We start from the raw sequence: 16,388 nt of genomic DNA, 5'->3' as shown, positions 1-16,388 counted from the left end.
AAAAAAAAAAAAAAAAATTGAAAAGCATGGCACTAAACAAACCAAGAAAAGGACATTTGTTTCCAGTGTTTGAGCTGAAGCAAGAGGAGCCCAGCTGCAAATATGCACATCAGGTCTTTAGCTTGTTGCAGCTCTGTGCATAAGCATTGCCCTCCAAAACACCACAAAAGCACTGCCTTAATTTTTGGGGTATGAATACATTGTAGCAAGGATGCAAATTTGCAAATAATCTACAAATACTGAGGATCAACTGTAATTGGTTCGGTTTGTAATCCTGTACATTTCACTTATTAATTTACAAACATTACTCTGTGAAGGGGGATATGGCCCTATAAAGGAGACAAACCGCCCAGGCACAGTGACTCATGCCTGTGATCCCAGGACTTTGGGATGCCAAGGTAGGAGGATCACTTGAGCCCAGGAGGTGGAGACCAGCCTGGGCAACATAAGGGAGACCCCATTTCTACAATTTTTTTTTTTTTGAGACGGAGTCTCGCTCTGTTGCCCAGGCTGGAGTGCAGTGGCGTGATCTCAACTCACTGCAACCTCTTGCCTCCCGGGTTCAAGCGAGTCTCGTGCCTCAGCCACCCAAGTAGCTGGGATTACAGGCACCCACCACCATGCCCGGCTAATTTTTGTATTTTTAGTAGAGATGGGGTTTCACCATGTTGGCCTGGCTGGTCTTGAACTCCTGACCTCAAGTGATCCACCTGCCTTGGCCTCCCATAAAAATTCTTTTTTAAAAATTAGCTAGGCGTCGTGTCGCATGCCTTTAGTTCCAGCTACTAGAGAGGCTGAAGTGGGAGGATCACTTGAGCCCAGGAGGTTGAGGCTGCAGTGAGCCATGATAGTGCCACTGTATCTATATAACAGTGCAAGTATAGGCAACAGAGCAAGACCCTATCTCCAAAAAAAAAGGGAGAGTGGGGGGTGTGTGTGAGACAAACCACTGGTCTGTAGGTAGATGAGAAACCAGCAAGAGAGACTTGAAAGGAGCAATGGGAGGAGAAAAACAAGAAGAGGGTGGTGTCCTAGACACAGGTGAAGTTAGACTGTACCTTTCTGTGGAATTCACTGGAAAGACTCCATGACCATCATACAGCATTAGCTAGAATAACCAGATCGTGCAATAGGAAAAAAAAATGCAAGTTGCTGGAATATTTACAGGTATTCTCTCAAATATGTTACATGTCCAGGAGACAGGCTCTTGTAGGTGCTGCAAATAAATATTTCTAGAATGAATGAACTGGTTCTTTCCTCAATTTGCGTAAGCCACAGAAATCTCTGAACCAAATCTCCTCTCCTTAAAACTTTAGTTCCCAAGTGTAAGAACAGACAATTGAATACTTTGTAACGTTTTTAATAAGAAAAGTTTTAAACAATTTATTTTTGGCAAAAACAGGTAGGGCAACCACCACCCCACAGCCCTGAGTGGAATAGGAAGACTTGGAAAAGCACACGAAGAGGGCAGGGACATGAGGTGTCATCTTGTAGCAGCTTCTGAGAAAGAGCTCAGTCCAATGGCAAGTTCAAGTCCACGGGTGAAACAGCCAGGATGCCCTCCTGGAAGGGAAAAGTGGCAGAGCCCTGTGAGCAGGGCAGGTGTTCCCCCCATACAGCAGCGTCCACATCAGCCCTGTGAGATTAGAGACGGGAAGGCGAGGAACCAGAGAGCGGAGGGTGACAGACACCCAGACAAGGGGACAGAGACCCAGACAGAAGGGCACAGGGATGAGGGGGCAGGGTCCTAGCAGGAGGAGGAAAGGTTGAGCTCGAGGAGGGTCAGGACACTGGAGTGGGATTAGACAGAGATCCAGAGAGAGTGAAGAGTTGGGGGACAGAGTCAGAGATGGGGAAGAGAGTCTTGGGATTTGAACAATTCAGAGTCGTGGCTTTGTGTACAAATCCAGATTCCAACACTCTGCATGCTGGGGACTTTTCCTCTCTGCCCCCACAAGACGAGGACAATAAGAGCCCCATGAGGTTGTAGTGGGTTTAAATGGGATCATTCCATTGAAATCCCTAGCAGAGGACCTGGCCCACCGAGAAAACTCATCTGCTATCAATCCTACTTTAAAAAAATTTTTTAAGAAATTGTCCAGGCGTGGTAGCTCAGCCTGTAATTCCAGCACTTTGGGAGGCCGAGGTGGGTGGATCACTTGAGGCCAAGAGTTCGAGACCAGCCTGGCCAACAGGGCAAAACCCCGTCTCTGCTAAAACTACAAAATTAGCCGGACATGGTGGTGTGCGCCTGTAACCCCAGCTACTCAGGAGGCTGAGGCAGGGAATCGCTTGAACCCAGGAGGTGGAGGTTGCAGTGAGCCAAGGTCGTGCCACTGCACTCCAGTCTGGGCAATAGAGTGAGACTCCATCTGAAAAATTAAAATAAAATAAAATAAACGAGCTTCTTTGCTGAGCCCAACACTTATATCCATTCCCCTCAACATGTGCTATGAGTTCTGATCTTACTGTAGACCGGACCACCTCCAGTCCTGCTCCCCACCCCCATCGCCCCCATCCCCACACCTTCCCCATCTCGGGGAACTTAAGATGTCGCCCTGCAGCTGCTCGGGCCAGCATCCTTTAGTCTGTCCCCACATCTGGCCCATTAGCCAAATCTGTCAGCTTCACCGCTAAGTTAAATCCAGCATTCTCCACCGCCCCCGACTTGGGTGAGATCCACTCACCTCCTCCCTGTGCCCCTACTTCTGCCCTCGCCCCCAGCAGTCTGTCCCCAGGCAGCCGCCAGAGGGCGCCCATTAGCGCCTAAATCAGCGCCTGTCCCTCCGCTGCTCAGAGACCTTGGCTTACCCAGAGTCAAAGTCCGAGTTGTCACTCACCGTGACCACAGGGTCCTGGCTGGCCCGGCGCCTCTCCTCCTCTCATCTGTCGCCCGCTCACCCTACTGTAGCCCTACTGGCCTCCTCCTCCCTGCTCCTCAAACACACTTGACCAGCTCCTGCCAGGGAAACCGGTTCCATCCAGAGCCTGGCTTGTGTCCCTCTCTCAGTGAATACCCACAGCGACCCCCCAAGGCAGGTAAATGAGACGGTGCTCACTGGACCAGTGGGGAGAGTGCCGCTCAGGGAGACTGCGACAGTCGCCAAGCCACAGGGCCAGCACGCTGGAGCCCAATCCAACTCTGAAACCGGCACTGGAGATAAAGTAAGAAAAGGAGAGGGGAAGACTTCTGGGTCTCCTGAAGCTGATGTGTTAGAGGTGGGAGACACCAACAAAGAAAAATAAACCAGAAGACAAGTAAAACAAGTCAATTCCACCATCTGTTGGAAGGCCCAAAGTGCTATGGAAGGAAAAGTAAAGCAGGAAGGGGGAAGGAGGGCGGTGGGAGGGTGTGCAGGTGGCTGTGATTGTCAATGGGGACCTGGGAAGGCCTCGTTGGGGGTGAAACCAGAGCCCACCAGAAGGAGCAGGACGGAGGCAGGGGGTTCCCCGGGAGGGCATCCTGGCAGGCACTGTTGGAAAGGCAGCAGGTAGCCATATAACCTCACCAACAAAATGCCTGCATGCCAGGCAGTGCACAGAGGGCTTACCACATTGACCCCATTTTAACCCTCAGAGCGACCCTTTGAGGTAGCACTACTACTCTCACTATTTTATTTTTTGAGACAGGGTCCCACTCTGTCACCCACACTGGAGTACAGTGGCGCAATCATAGCTCACCACAGCCTTGAACTCCTGGGCTCAAGTGATCCTCCCGGCTCCTCTGCCTCCTGAGTAGCTGGGAGTAAACGTGTGAGCTACCATGCTTTGCTAATTATTATTAATTTTAAAAATTTTTATTTATTTATTTTTTGAGACAGAGCCCCGCTCTTGTTGCCCAGGCTGGAGTGCAGTGGTGCAATCTCGGCTCACTACAACCTCTGCCTCCCAGGTTCAAGCAATTCTCTTGCCTCAGCCTCCCTAGCTGGGATTACAGGCATGCCGGGCTAATTTTGTATTTTTAGTAGAGACTGAATGTCACCATGGTCAGGCTGGTCTCAAACTCCTGACCTCAAGTGATCCACCCACCTCAGTCTCCCAAAGTGCTGGGATTACAGGTGTGAGCCACCGCACCAGGTTTTTATTATATTATTTTGTTGAGACACAGTCTCACTCTGTCGCCCAGGCTGGAGTGCAGTGGCATGATCTCAGCTCACTGCAATCTCTGCCTCCCAGGTTCAAGCGATTCTCATGCCTCAGTCTCCTCGGTAGCTGGGATTACAGGCACCTGCCACCGCGCCCGGCTAATTTATGTATTTTTTTTAGTAGACACAGGGTTTCACCACGTTGGCCAGCTGGTCTCAAACTCCTGACCTCAGGTGATCCACCTGCCTCGGCCTCCCAAAGTGCTGGGATTACAGGTGTGAGCCACCGCACCCGACCCTGGCTAGTTATTTTCAATTTTTGTAGAGATGGGGTCTTACTATGTTGTCCAGGCTGGTCTTGAACTCCTGGCCTCAAATAATTCTCCTGCCTTGGCCTCCAAAAGTGCTGGGATTACAGGCATGAGCTACCCCGTCCGGCCTCTCCCTGAGTAACCTCAGTCACTGGTTTCACGCTCACAGTATTAGCGTACCCAGTCGTTGACGCCAGGCATAGTGTCTGCACTCATCGCTGCAGTCCTGGCATACAGCAAGGGCTCAACAGAACGAACGCAGTGGAGCTGGGAGAATACCTGAGGTCTGAGAGGAACCTAAGAAGTCCCCGCCCCTCCTCTATCACATGACAGTTAGGTAAAGTGAGGCCCGGAGAGAGAGGCTTCAGCGGCTCACCCAGCCCCCGTGGGCCTGGATCCAGGGCGTGAAGCTGTGCACGTGCTCCACGCTGAGTCCGGCCAGGGTGCCCCCCAGCCCGGCCACGCGCCGGCTCAGCTCCATGGCTAGGGCCAGGCGGGCCAGGGGCTCCGGGGAAGGAGGCGGGGGCCCGGGGCATGCTCGGCTTGGGCGAGAGCTGTCATCCCGGCTACAGAACAGCTCCACCAGGCGGGCGAAAGAGTCGGAGGACAGGCGGACCAGCTTGCTGCGCAGGGCGGGGTCCGAGGCCAGCTGTAGGGTGGAAGAGGCAGGGTCCGCGTCAGCAGCGCCCCCGGGGCCAGCCAATAGAGGGCCGGGAGGCGTGGCTTCCCGGTTCAGGATCGTTCTAGATGCTAAGGTTCTAGGCCACCCCTCATCCATATTAGCCAATCAAGCCAGACTCCAGGGTCTCTGCCAAACTACCCCCGGGATAGTGGCCTGGAACGTGAGTCCCTAAGCCATGCCAGGCCCTTGCCTCAACAGCCAATCAGGGCCAATCTCTACTGTAACTGAGTTAATCTAGCCATGCCCCTGGTGACCTTTCCCAGGGGCCAACCTAGTGTCTACAACAATCTTGCCCTCTACCATTCAATTAATATTAAAGGACGATGTACCTTGTCCAAGCTCCGAAGCCAATCAGATTCCAGGACACAGCCACAAGCCACACCTCCTCTGGTAGTACATTTTCCCCTACATTCTAAGCCAGGTCCCTTCTATGCTCAGTAAGATTTTAGCCACTCCCCCCACCCCCACATTCATTCACTTACTTCCCCAGCTTGGCCAGTCTCTTGTGGATAATGTTTCTGATGGCCACACCCTCTGCATTTAGGCCATGCCCCTCTAAACAATCAATTAAAACAACTAATTTACGGTACAGTACTACCCTAACCATACCCCTGTCATTCAACTATTCTTTTTTTTTTTTTTTTTTAAAGACAGAGTCTCACTCTGTCACCCAGGCTGGAGTGCAGTGGCGCAATCTTGGCTCACTGCAACCTCCACCTCCTGGGCTCAAGCGATTCTCCTGCCTCAGCCTTCTGAGTAGCTGGGATTACAGAAGCGCACCACCACACCTGTCCGATTTTTGTATTTTTAGTAGAGATGGGGTTTCACCATGTTGGCCAGGCTGGTCTCGAACTCCTGACCTCAAGTCATCCACCCAACTCGGCCTCCCAAAGTGCTGGGATTACAGGCGTGAGCCACCACACCCGGCCTCAACCCTTCATTGAAACCTTGTCCCAGCCTCTTTCCACCTGACCATCCAAAGAAAATACAGATCCAGCTTCTGATCCCAGTGCCCCACCATTCCGCAACTCCTGTCCTTGCCAAGGAGTGGGACAGATGCCCATCACCTTCTGGTTAATGACTTCTGCCTCCTCCTCCAGCAGGGCCACCAGCCTCCGCAGTATGGCTTCCTTCTCTGTCGATGGGGGACCCTGTAATTCTGGAGGCAGAAGAGAATTTGGCTGGGGGCAGAACCCTGACTATCCTCCCACCGCCATCCTTCTCTGGGGCTCCTCTGTGCCTCACCTGGGCTGGGCGGAGATTTCAGCTGCTCTTGGACCAGCTGTTCCAGCCGCTGGGCCACCAAAGCATAGAAGTCTGGAGTAGCTGGGCCTGGGGTGAAAAGAGTTAATGACAGGTTTCCAGGACATTGGAAACTTACGGATTCTCTCCTTCCCCCAACTACCTTGGCAGGTGGCAATGATTCCCATTTTATTTATTATTTATTTATGTATTGATTTTGGGAAACGGAGTCTCGCAATTCTCCTGCCTCAGCCTCATGAGTAGCTGGGACTACAGGCGCACGCCGCCATACCTGGCTAATTTTTTGTATTTTAGTAGAAATGGGGTTTCACCGTGTTGCCCAGGCTGACCTCAGGCAATCCACCCACCTCAGCCTCCCAAAGTGCTAGGATTACAGGCGTGAGCAACCAAGCCTGGCCATGATTCCCATTTTATAATGGGGTAAACTGAGGCCCAGTGAGAAAACTTGGTTAAAAATGCCAAAACCCTTGTACTTTTCACTTTATGAGATCCTCAGACTGGACTTAGAATGTCAGAGCTGGGGCCAGGCGCAGTGGCTCACGCCTGTAATCCCATCACTTTGGGAGGCTGAGGCAGGCAGATCACCTGAGGTTGGGAGTTCGAGAGCAGCCTGACCAACATGGAGAAACCCCATCTCTACTAAAAATACAAAAAAAATTAGCCGGGCATGGTGGCGCATGCCTATAATCCCAGCTACTTGGGAGGCTGAGGCAGGAGAATTACTTGAACCCGGGAGGTAGAGGTTGTGGTGAGCCGAGATCGGGCCATTGCACTCCAGCCTGGGCAACAAGGGCGAAACTCCGTCTCAAAAAAAAAAAAAAAAAAAAGAATGTCAGAGCTGACAGGGTGCGGTGGCTCACGTCTGCAATCTCAACATTTTGGGAGGCCGACGTGGGAGGGTCACTTGAGGCCAGGAGTTTGAGGCCAGCCTGGCCAACGTGGCGAAACCCCGTGTCTACTAAAAGTATAAAAATCAGCTAGTATGCTGGCGTGCACCTGTAATCCCAGTCACTCGGGAGGCTGAGGCACGAGAATCGCTTGAACCCAGGAGGTGGGGATTGCAGTGAGTCGAGATTGCACCCCTGCACTCCAGCCTGGGTGACAGAGCAACAATCTGTCTCCAAAAGACTGTCAGAGCTCAACTAGACCTTGAAGATGATCTCATCCAAGGAAGGCAAACACAAGACATTACTGTTAGTATCCCCTTCCCTCACTCACTACAGACATCACCAATTGATCACAGCACTTCCTCTCCCAAGCTGTGAACCCCTTTTCAAGCTAGCACTCCCAGCAGCCATTACTAGTCTGTCCAGGTTCACACCTATGAGGAAACTTGTGGGTCACCTTGATCAAGTCCAGTGACCTCCTCCCCAATTCCTACTCTGCTATTGGAAAAACAGGGGAGCAGGGAAGAGAAAGCATTTTCCCCAGAGTCACGCAACTAAAACAGCCAGGGAGATGTGATTGAAAACCAGCCCTTCTGCCCCTCTATCAGGGGTATTCCTGGCTACAAAAGTCCTAGGGGCAGGGAAGTAGTTATGGAAGGAAAGAGACAACAACCAGATTGACCAAATGCTCTCTGAAAGCCAACCCACAGAATTGACAGAAATCTAACTGGGGAGGGGAGAGGACAGGACGGTTCTGTCCTGAAGGCTGGTGCTAGAGACTCCACACAGCCACCCCCTAGCTGAGTGATCTTAAACTAGCACCTTATCCCGTGTTCTGCCGGCTTCATAGATGATCATGGAAATCTCTTACCAGGCTCTAAACCATAGCAGGGGCGGATGGGCAGAGAGCAAGGCCGAGGGGACTCAGAGGGGGCTGCTCCTCGCCCCAGGGAGCAGGGAAGACATCTTCGAAGGCGGCTCAGGAAGTCTGTTGGCTCTTCTTGGGCAGGGCTTCTGGAGAGGAGGACTTCAGAGACTGACCCCACCAGAGATCCCCTGCAAGCAGTCTCTTTCCCCAACTCCCTCCCTCCCCCGCTGAGGACCTCTCTCCAAAACCCCAAAGACAGAGAATAGAGCCAGATATAAAGAGAGGAGACAGACTGAGACCAGGAGCAAGAGTTAGGAGGGAGCCTCAAATGCTGGCCCCTGGGGGAGAAGGGCCACTCCTCTTACCTAGGTGGAGTTGGAACAGGAGACCCGGCAGCCTCACCACGCCTAAGGAAGGCAGCTAGGACCCTCAGCGTGTCTTCCCGGAGCCCCAGCTCTTCAGAGCCTGCCATGGAGGCACCTGTGAGAGAGAGGGTTAGGGACTGGACTCCAAGGGTTTAGCAAGAAGTGGAGGCTTGGGGACCAGGACTTGTGAGTCCCAAGGAAGGTGCTGAGGGCCTGGACTCCTGGGTCCTTTGGAGAGTGTGGGTCTGGGGGCCTAGACTCTTGAGTCCTCAGACGAAAAAGCGATCAGGAAAAAGACTCTTCGATCCAAGGAAAGGTGGTGGGGCTGGGTGCCCAGATTCGTGGGTCTAAAGGAGGAGGGAGCTGGGGTCCTGGACTTCTGAGTCTTAGAGAAAAAGGAACTGGAGCCCCAGACCCTTAGGTCTCCCAGGAAGAAGAGGCTTAGCGCCCCAACTCCTGGATTCTATAAGAGGCATATGCCAAACTCCTGAAACCCTTAAAGCATCGGGAACTACCAATCCCAAGAGGTTTCAGGGCAAATCTTCCCCTAGGTCCGCGCTTCTTCGCCGCGCAGCCTGCTGTGAGGTGTAGTTCCAAATCTCCGACCCCTGCTGGAATCTAGAGGACCCTGGACCCTTGGATATCAGAGAAGCGGGACTGGGGTGCCCACCACTGGATCCCGGCCCCCTCCTCTTCCCTCCTCACCCCACCCCTCGTCAACACCCCGCTGACCTGGTCCGGGGCCCCACCGCCGCCTCCTCCACTCAACTTGCGGTCTCCTCCACTGAACTCGTACAAACTTTATTAGTTCAACTTTCCCGCGCCTGCGCACTGGGCCGGGTCGATAACCGGCCCAGCGTAGAAAGGGCGGAACGCTGGGTGCACGCTCAATTTGCATGTGACGCTCCCAGCATGCCTCTGGCCGGAAACCCAAAAAAGGGCATAGGGGCGGGAACAGCCCAGCGGGCCGTCCCATCGGCTTTTGGGTCTGTTACCCAAAGAATGATAAAGTTGGTTTTATTTCAAGAAGTCGATCAAAAAGAAAGCCCCAGCGCTCTAGAGCTCAGCTGACGGGAAAGGGGGTGCGCAGCCTCGAGTTTGAGAGCTACCCGGAGCTCCAAGACAGGGGTGGGTTCCAGCTGCCCGCACGCCCCGACCTTCCATCGTAGGTAACGCGGAAGAGCCCGGGAGAGCGTTGGTGGCGTCCGAGAGCGAGGAGCGGGAAAGAGGATGGGTCTGCACGGAGAGTGGAAAGGCAGGCTGTGTACTCTGGGGAAAGTGGAGCAAGGAAGGAGCTACAGTGGCCGACGCTGGAGGTCGGCTGCAGAAAAACTAGAAAAAGTAGGGAGGAAAGAGGAAAAGAGGAGGCGTCTACACTGAGGGGGTTCTAGAGAGGGAGGGGTGGACTCCGTAGATGGGGGTAGTTCAGTCTCGAAACCTGGGGCGTGCTCTGTCCTGGAGGAGGGAGGCGGGCAGTCGGAGGGGAATTGAATGGAAGTTCTGTGTTGGAAATGTTTTGGGAGATCTTCTGTAGGGGGACTGTGGAAGGGGGTCTACATTGGGGTAAGTGCAGGAGGTAGAGGCTTACACGTGAATCGATTCTGCACTGAAATAACTAGGGAAAGAGGATGCTACCCTGAAAGTGGGGATACTTACTTTCGATGATGTGGGGGAGGGAGGAGGTCTATACTGGCGGAATTGAGGGAGTGGAGGGTCTGCACTGAAGACGCTGGGGAAGGATGTGCCATGGATATGGGAAGGAACCCTAGCTGATTAGAGAGCCTCTCGGGAGGATGGGAGGATGGGAAGAGGAGGTTTCCTGTTTGTACCCCCGAAAATATGGGTGAAGGACCTGTGCCGTGGCCCGTGAGAAGGAGGTCTGGGTGCGGAAACTCCAGGCCAGGTGGGTCCGGGGGAGGCCGGTCGCGCCCAGGAAATGCCCTATACGCGCAGGCCGGACCATGGGAACCCCAAAGCCACGGATCCTGCCCTGGCTGGTGTCGCAGCTGGACCTGGGGCAACTGGAGGGCGTGGCCTGGGTGAACAAGAGCCGCACGCGCTTCCGCATCCCTTGGAAGCACGGCCTACGGCAGGATGCACAGCAGGAGGATTTCGGAATCTTCCAGGTGCGTGCGACGACCTGGGACGCTGGAAACCCGGAGCTGCGCGCTGGGCGGAAAGGACTCCTAGTGGGCCCGGCTGAGAAGGCGGAGGTGGCGCGCGAGGGGCGGGCTCGTGCCAACGCTGGTGGGTGGGGCTAGAACGGGAGGGGCGGGGCTAGCCGGATCCGCTGACTGATGGTGGGGCGCAAGCAGGGTTGGAGCTGCAGGGTTACGGGAATAAAACCGGGAAAGCCGGTTAGTACGCAAAGGAAATGCATCCTGGGGGTTTGGGGCTTTCTAGAGGCCGGGGCTCTTGGTTGTAGGATAGATACTGGGGGATGGTTCTTGAAACATCAGAGGTGAGGCCTGGAGCCCCAAATCTGAGGTTCCTAACTACCGAATTAGTATATGCCAGAGGTGGTAAACAGTGTGAGGGGCGGGGTTATCACAGAGGGTGTCGCGGGGCAGGTGGTGCACGGGATTAGACACCAAGTTGGACTTGGAAGCCTGGCTTAGAAAGAAAAGGTTTTTGGGCCGGGGGCGGTGGTTCACACCTGTAATCCTAGCACTTTGCAAGGCCAAGGCGGGAGGATCGCTTGAGCCCAGGAGTTTGAGGCCAGCTTGGGCAACATAGGCTCCATCTCTTTAAAAACAAAAGCGAAACAAAACAAAAACCAAAGAGGTTTCAAAGGCTTTTGAAGAGGCCGAGCACAGTAGCTCATGCCTGTAATCCCAGCACTTTGGGAGGCCGAGGAGGACGGATCACCTGAGGTCAGGAGTTCAAGACCAGCCTGGCCAACATGGTGAAACCCCATCTCTACTAAAAATACAAAAATTAGCCAGGTGTAGTGGTGCCCACCTGTAATCCCAGCTACTCAGGAGGCTGAGACAGGAGAATCGCTTGAACCGGGGAGGCGGAAGTTGCAGTGAGCTGAGATTGCACCATTGCATTCCAGCCTGGGTGACAGGAGTGAAACTCCATCTCAAAAAGAAAAAAAGCCTTTTGAAAACTAGAGGTGGGGGATGGAGGTAGGTGGGACGGGGGGATTTGGGGATGGACCTTGCAGAGTTAGAACTTGCCAGGGAAAGAGGGTGGTGTTAGGACTCGGGAGACAGGGTTAGGGCCCCAGGAGCAGGATCTAAGTCGTCCTCCCCCACCATCCTGACACCACTGTTGCCCCAGGCCTGGGCCGAGGCCACTGGTGCATATGTTCCCGGGAGGGATAAGCCAGACCTGCCAACCTGGAAGAGGAATTTCCGCTCTGCCCTCAACCGCAAAGAAGGGTTGCGTTTAGCAGAGGACCGGAGCAAGGACCCTCACGACCCACATAAAATCTACGAGTTTGTGAACTCAGGTCTGCCAGCTTGGGGTTCGTGTGGGAGGCTGGGGCCCCAAGGGTTCCTGGCACTCCTACTCCCCTCACCACTTTTCTCAACAGGAGTTGGGGACTTTTCCCAGCCAGACACCTCTCCGGACACCAATGGTGGAGGCAGTACTTCTGATACCCAGGTGAGAATGTGCCCAACTTTCATGCCCCTCAGTCTCCGACCTGTCTCCATGGGCCTTGTCCTCTCCCTCTAGACGATCCCCCCACTCCCCTGCCTCCAGCCTGCCCCTCACCTGAGCCAGTGCTGACCCTGTCTGTCCCTGCCCCGGTCTCCTCAGGAGAAAATTCCAAGTCTTCACCCAGCATTCAAGGCCCGAGCACACCTTCCCGGGATTTCATGGATTTCGATTCGCAGGGGGCTGTCAGCCTCTTGGGAACTGAAAAACTCCCTCACCTTGATCCTGCTGAGGCCCAAGCTGGGGGAGCATCCCCTCTGAAATTCTACCCAGCCTGCTTTGCCCAGGTCTTACCTGCATAGAGCCAGATCCTTGGGTTGGAATGGTAGCACCTGGCGTTCATTAGTGTTTGTTTGGCTGTTGATGCCATGGCTGGCTCTGTCCCCAGGCTGGAAGCCCCTTGAAGGCAGAGCTCAAGCCTGACCTCCCTGCGTTGCTGAGAACAGACCTGGTCCATATGAAGTCTCCAGAAAAGGATATGGAAATGCCTGATTCTCTTTTTTTGTTTCCCTCCAGGAAGACATTCTGGATGAGTTACTGGGTAACATGGTGTTGGCCCCACTCCCAGATCCGGGACCCCCAAGCCTGGCTGTAGCCCCTGAGCCCTGCCCTCAGCCCCTGCGGAGCCCCAGCTTGGACAATCCCACTCCCTTCCCAAACCTGGGGCCCTCTGAGAACCCACTGAAGCGGCTGTTGGTGCCGGGGGAAGGTGAGTGTCAGCTGCAGGCTGGGAGGGCTGAGGTCTGGGCGGCAGCCCCTGATTCTCAACCCCTCTCCCCTTCATGCCGCTGCTGCCGCTGCTCAGAGTGGGAGTTCGAGGTGACAGCCTTCTACCGGGGCCGCCAAGTCTTCCAGCAGACCATCTCCTGCCCGGAGGGCCTGCGGCTGGTGGGGTCCGAAGTGGGAGACAGGACGCTGCCTGGATGGCCAGTCACACTGCCAGACCCTGGCATGTCCCTGACAGACAGGGGAGTGATGAGCTACGTGAGGCATGTGCTGAGCTGCCTGGGTGGGGGACTGGCTCTCTGGCGGGCCGGGCAGTGGCTCTGGGCCCAGCGGCTGGGGCACTGCCACACATACTGGGCAGTGAGCGAGGAGCTGCTCCCCAACAGCGGGCATGGGCCTGATGGCGAGGTCCCCAAGGACAAGGAAGGAGGCGTGTTTGACCTGGGGCCCTTCATTGTAGGTGAGTGAGACAGGGGCTTCGACCTGGCCAGTACAAAGCAGCCTGCACAGTGGTTAACAACTCAGGATTGGCCGGGCACGGTGGCTCACGCCTGTAGTCCCAGCACTTTGGGAGGCTGAGGTGGGCAGATGACAAGTTCAGGAGTTCGAGACCAGCCTGGTCAACATAGTGAAACCCCATCTCTACTAAAGATACAAAAAAATAGTCGGGCGTGGTGGCACGTGCCTGTAATCCCAGCTACTCGGGAGGCTGAGGCAGGAGAATTGCTTGAACCCAGGAGGCGGAGATTGCAGTGAGCTGAGATCGCACCACTGCACTCTAGCCTGGTGACAGAGTAAGACTCCATCTCGAACAACAAAAAAAAAAGAACTCATGATTAGGACTGAATTCAGACGCTGGCTGCCCTTGGCCCGCTGTATAACCGAGGCAAAGGACTTTGCCCTGAGCCCGTGGAATCCAAGGATGGTCTCCTCTCTCTACCTGCCTGCCAGCGCTGGGGTGAGACACAGGCCCAGTACACAGAGCCTGCTCAGGGAATTAGCTGCCACTGTCATCATCATCGTAACTAATGATGGTGAACAGACCAATAGCAGGAAAGCTACATCCCTTAGGGTTTCGCTGTGCAGTGGCACTTTCTGCCATGATGGAAATGACAGTCACCTGCACTGTCCGGTGCAGCAGCCACTAGCCACAGGGGCCAAGCACTCAGGTGAGGCGAGTGCAACCAGGACGTGATTCGTTTTAATTGGTTACAATTTAAACTGAAATAACCTTACATGACTAATGGCTGCAATTGGACAATGCAGCCTCAGACAGGACTGAATGCCAACCAGCTTCTCCAGATTCACTGAGCATCCTTGGGAGCATGGGCCCCCTACTCTGGGCCTGTTATGAATGCTGAGGCTTGGGGGCTTGGGGGTGTGGCCTTCCAACAACCCCACCCTGATGGGAGGGAGGGAGGGAGGGAAGGAGGGGACTTTCCCCAAACAAGCAGTCCCCTGGTCGAGGCAGCAGAGGGCCTTAGGTCAGGGGAGGTGGTGGGGGTTATCATTCAAGTTTACGGGGAAGGGTGGGTAGAGGGTCCTCTTCTCATCCCTGACTAGGCTCCTGGGCCCCCAGATCTGATTACCTTCACGGAAGGAAGCGGACGCTCACCACGCTATGCCCTCTGGTTCTGTGTGGGGGAGTCATGGCCCCAGGACCAGCCGTGGACCAAGAGGCTCGTGATGGTCAAGGTGCCTGCAGACCTGAGTCCCTGGGGCTGAAAGGGGTGGCCTTACAGAGGGAAGAGGTTGCTCCCAGGAACTCCAACTCCCAGAGGGCCCTCTAAAAAACTGCAACTTCCAAGATCTCTGCAATAACCAGTTTTTCATCCCCGGGAGCTCCTTCCCATGGCCTCACCTGCAGAACCTGTTTTGAACTCTCTAAACCAGTGGCCCCCAAACTATTTGGCACCAGGGACCAGTCTCATGGAAGATAATATTTCCACGGACAGGGAGGTGTGGTTTCGGGATGAAACTGCTCCACTGCAGATCATCAGGCATTAGATTCTCTTAAGGAGCAGCCGATCCCTCACGTGCGCAGTTCGATAGAGTTTGTGCTCCTCTGAGAATCTAATGCTGCCGCTGATCTCACAGAAGGCAGAGCTCAGGCAGTAATATTCCCCCACCCGCTGCTCACATCCTGCTGTGCAACCTGGTCCCTAACAAGCCGTAGGGGGGTTGGGGACCCCTGCTCTAAACCATGTAGAAGCTGGTGGACTCAAGTTTTAGCTGCCATTGTGAGGCCATGGCTGTGGCTCCCAGGAGTCAAGATCACAGACTGCTCAGCCCTGACGTGTGTGTGTGTGTGTGTTTGTGTGTGTGTGTAAAACTACAACTCCCAGCAGCCCTAGGCCTATGGTTCAGTTACAGCAGGGGGTGTGTGTGTGTGTGTGTGTGTGTGTGTGTGTGTGTGTGTGTGTAAAACTACAACTCCCAGCAGCCCTAGGCCTATGGTTCATCCTAGGTTACAGCAGGGGCTGCAGGGAGTTGTAGTCCTCCAAGCCCTGACTCCTACCTTGGTGGACAGTGGCTGGGTGTTTTCCCTGACTCCTGTCCCCACTTCCCCTGCAGGTTGTGCCCACGTGCCTCAGGGCCTTGGTAGAAATGGCCCGGGTAGGGGGTGCCTCCTCCCTGGAGAATACTGTGGACCTGCACATTTCCAACAGCCACCCACTCTCCCTCACCTCCGACCAGTACAAGGCCTACCTGCAGGACTTGGTGGAGGGCATGGATTTCCAGGGCCCTGGGGAGAGCTGAGCCCTCGCTCCTCATGGTGTGCCTCCAACCCCCCTGTTCCCCACCACCTCAACCAATAAACTGGTTCCTGCTATGATCACTTGTGCGTGTCTGGTGTTGGGTGCCCTCTGACCCAATATGGTTGTTATTCCCGCTCAGGGTCTCAGTTTACCCATCTGTGCAGCTATATACAACTCAGGTGCTCAATGCATGAAGACCAAGCACTGCAGGGGGCAGCTGACACCTCCTCACTTCTGCCCAGGGACCTGGTGGGTGATGGCTGTCCCCGTGTTGTAGACCAAGACACAGGCTGGGAGAGGCGCAAAGGTCACAGAGTAGGAAACACAAAGACTAGCCAGAACCCAGGCCCCCTGCCTTGCCTATGAACAGTTTGGGCAAGTGGTCCTTCTCCTTCCAGGCCTCAGGCTCCCCTCCACGTGGGGCTGGAGGGGTCTTGGTAAAGGGGCTCTGCGGCCACCCTGGAGCCTGCAAAGCCTGCCTGCCTGGTGACCCTGGGCACTGTCACCTCTCCTGGTTGGGCCGCAGTTCTGGGTGATGAAACTGGCAGAAGCCAGCGCAGCCCTGACTCACCCTTCGGCCCTTGCTGCTCTGTGCCTCAGTTTCCCTCTCAGGACAGTTGATGAGATCACCCCAGCTTCACGGGGCTGCTGAAAAGAGAAGCCAACTCAATGGGGAACACAGATCCTGCTCTGGGAGCAATTCCAAGGCAGGCACATGGCACCCAGGAGCCGAGCTGGGAAGATGCTGATCAGGTGGGGTCCGGCCCCTGCCTCCC

At 54.8% G+C, this 16,388-nt stretch overlaps 2 protein-coding genes across 37 annotated transcripts, besides 4 other annotated features; one reads left to right on the top strand and one right to left on the bottom strand.

Moving 5' to 3' along the window:
* BCL2L12 (BCL2 like 12) lies at positions 1,345-10,119 on the bottom strand. 14 transcript variants are annotated; one of them, NR_104201.1, is made up of 7 exons: positions 9,194-10,119; positions 8,462-8,576; positions 8,100-8,242; positions 6,324-6,410; positions 6,097-6,237; positions 4,773-5,045; positions 1,345-1,563 (listed from the first exon to the last, which is right to left on the bottom strand). NR_104201.1 is itself a non-coding variant. In NM_138639.2 (7 exons), the coding sequence occupies exons 2-7, from the start codon at positions 8,566-8,568 to the stop codon at positions 1,513-1,515; spliced, it is 753 nt and encodes a 250-aa protein (NP_619580.2). In that variant the 5' UTR covers positions 8,569-8,576; positions 9,194-9,328; the 3' UTR covers positions 1,345-1,512. The 14 variants fall into 14 exon arrangements, 8 of the variants coding, with proteins under 8 accessions (NP_619580.2, NP_001035758.2, NP_001269448.2 ...); NM_138639.2 differs by having other exon boundaries at positions 6,146-6,237; positions 9,194-9,328; NM_001040668.2 differs by having other exon boundaries at positions 6,146-6,237; positions 8,100-8,239; positions 9,194-9,328.
* Positions 2,599-3,157: an enhancer, noted in NCBI's record as "H3K27ac-H3K4me1 hESC enhancer chr19:50175361-50175919 (GRCh37/hg19 assembly coordinates)". NCBI's record gives its function as "activates a minimal SCP1, AML or CMV promoter by ChIP-STARR-seq in naive H9 embryonic stem cells {active_cell/tissue: H9 hESC(naive)}" and the evidence as "EXISTENCE:reporter gene assay evidence [ECO:0000049][PMID:30033119]".
* Positions 2,916-3,105: an enhancer, noted in NCBI's record as "active region_14953". NCBI's record gives its function as "activates an Ori minimal core promoter by ATAC-STARR-seq in GM12878 lymphoblastoid cells {active_cell/tissue: GM12878}" and the evidence as "EXISTENCE:reporter gene assay evidence [ECO:0000049][PMID:35858748]".
* Positions 9,156-9,235: a silencer, noted in NCBI's record as "silent region_10929". NCBI's record gives its function as "represses an Ori minimal core promoter by ATAC-STARR-seq in GM12878 lymphoblastoid cells {active_cell/tissue: GM12878}" and the evidence as "EXISTENCE:reporter gene assay evidence [ECO:0000049][PMID:35858748]".
* Positions 9,276-9,425: a silencer, noted in NCBI's record as "silent region_10928". NCBI's record gives its function as "represses an Ori minimal core promoter by ATAC-STARR-seq in GM12878 lymphoblastoid cells {active_cell/tissue: GM12878}" and the evidence as "EXISTENCE:reporter gene assay evidence [ECO:0000049][PMID:35858748]".
* Positions 9,404-15,689, top strand: IRF3 (interferon regulatory factor 3). Of its 23 annotated transcripts, none has more exons than NR_045568.2 (8): positions 9,404-9,777; positions 10,415-10,587; positions 11,747-11,918; positions 12,003-12,073; positions 12,644-12,836; positions 12,933-13,313; positions 14,433-14,548; positions 15,428-15,689. NR_045568.2 is itself a non-coding variant. In XM_047438784.1 (8 exons), exons 5-8 carry the CDS (start codon positions 12,674-12,676, stop codon positions 15,670-15,672), a joined length of 921 nt encoding a protein of 306 aa, XP_047294740.1. In that variant the 5' UTR covers positions 9,404-9,589; positions 10,588-10,708; positions 11,747-11,918; positions 12,003-12,073; positions 12,644-12,673; the 3' UTR covers positions 15,673-15,689. The 23 variants fall into 23 exon arrangements, 20 of the variants coding, with proteins under 20 accessions (XP_047294740.1, XP_016882256.1, XP_006723261.1 ...); XM_047438784.1 differs by lacking the exon at positions 10,415-10,587 and adding an exon at positions 10,588-10,708 and having other exon boundaries at positions 9,404-9,589; positions 14,417-14,548; XM_017026767.2 differs by having other exon boundaries at positions 9,404-9,589.

Source organism: Homo sapiens, chromosome 19 (genome assembly GCF_000001405.40).
Source record: "Homo sapiens chromosome 19, GRCh38.p14 Primary Assembly".
In the NCBI taxonomy this organism is placed as follows: Eukaryota; Metazoa; Chordata; class Mammalia; order Primates; family Hominidae; genus Homo; species Homo sapiens.
Note: the sequence above shows the minus strand (reverse complement) of the source record. Positions and strands in the feature narration are given on the sequence as shown.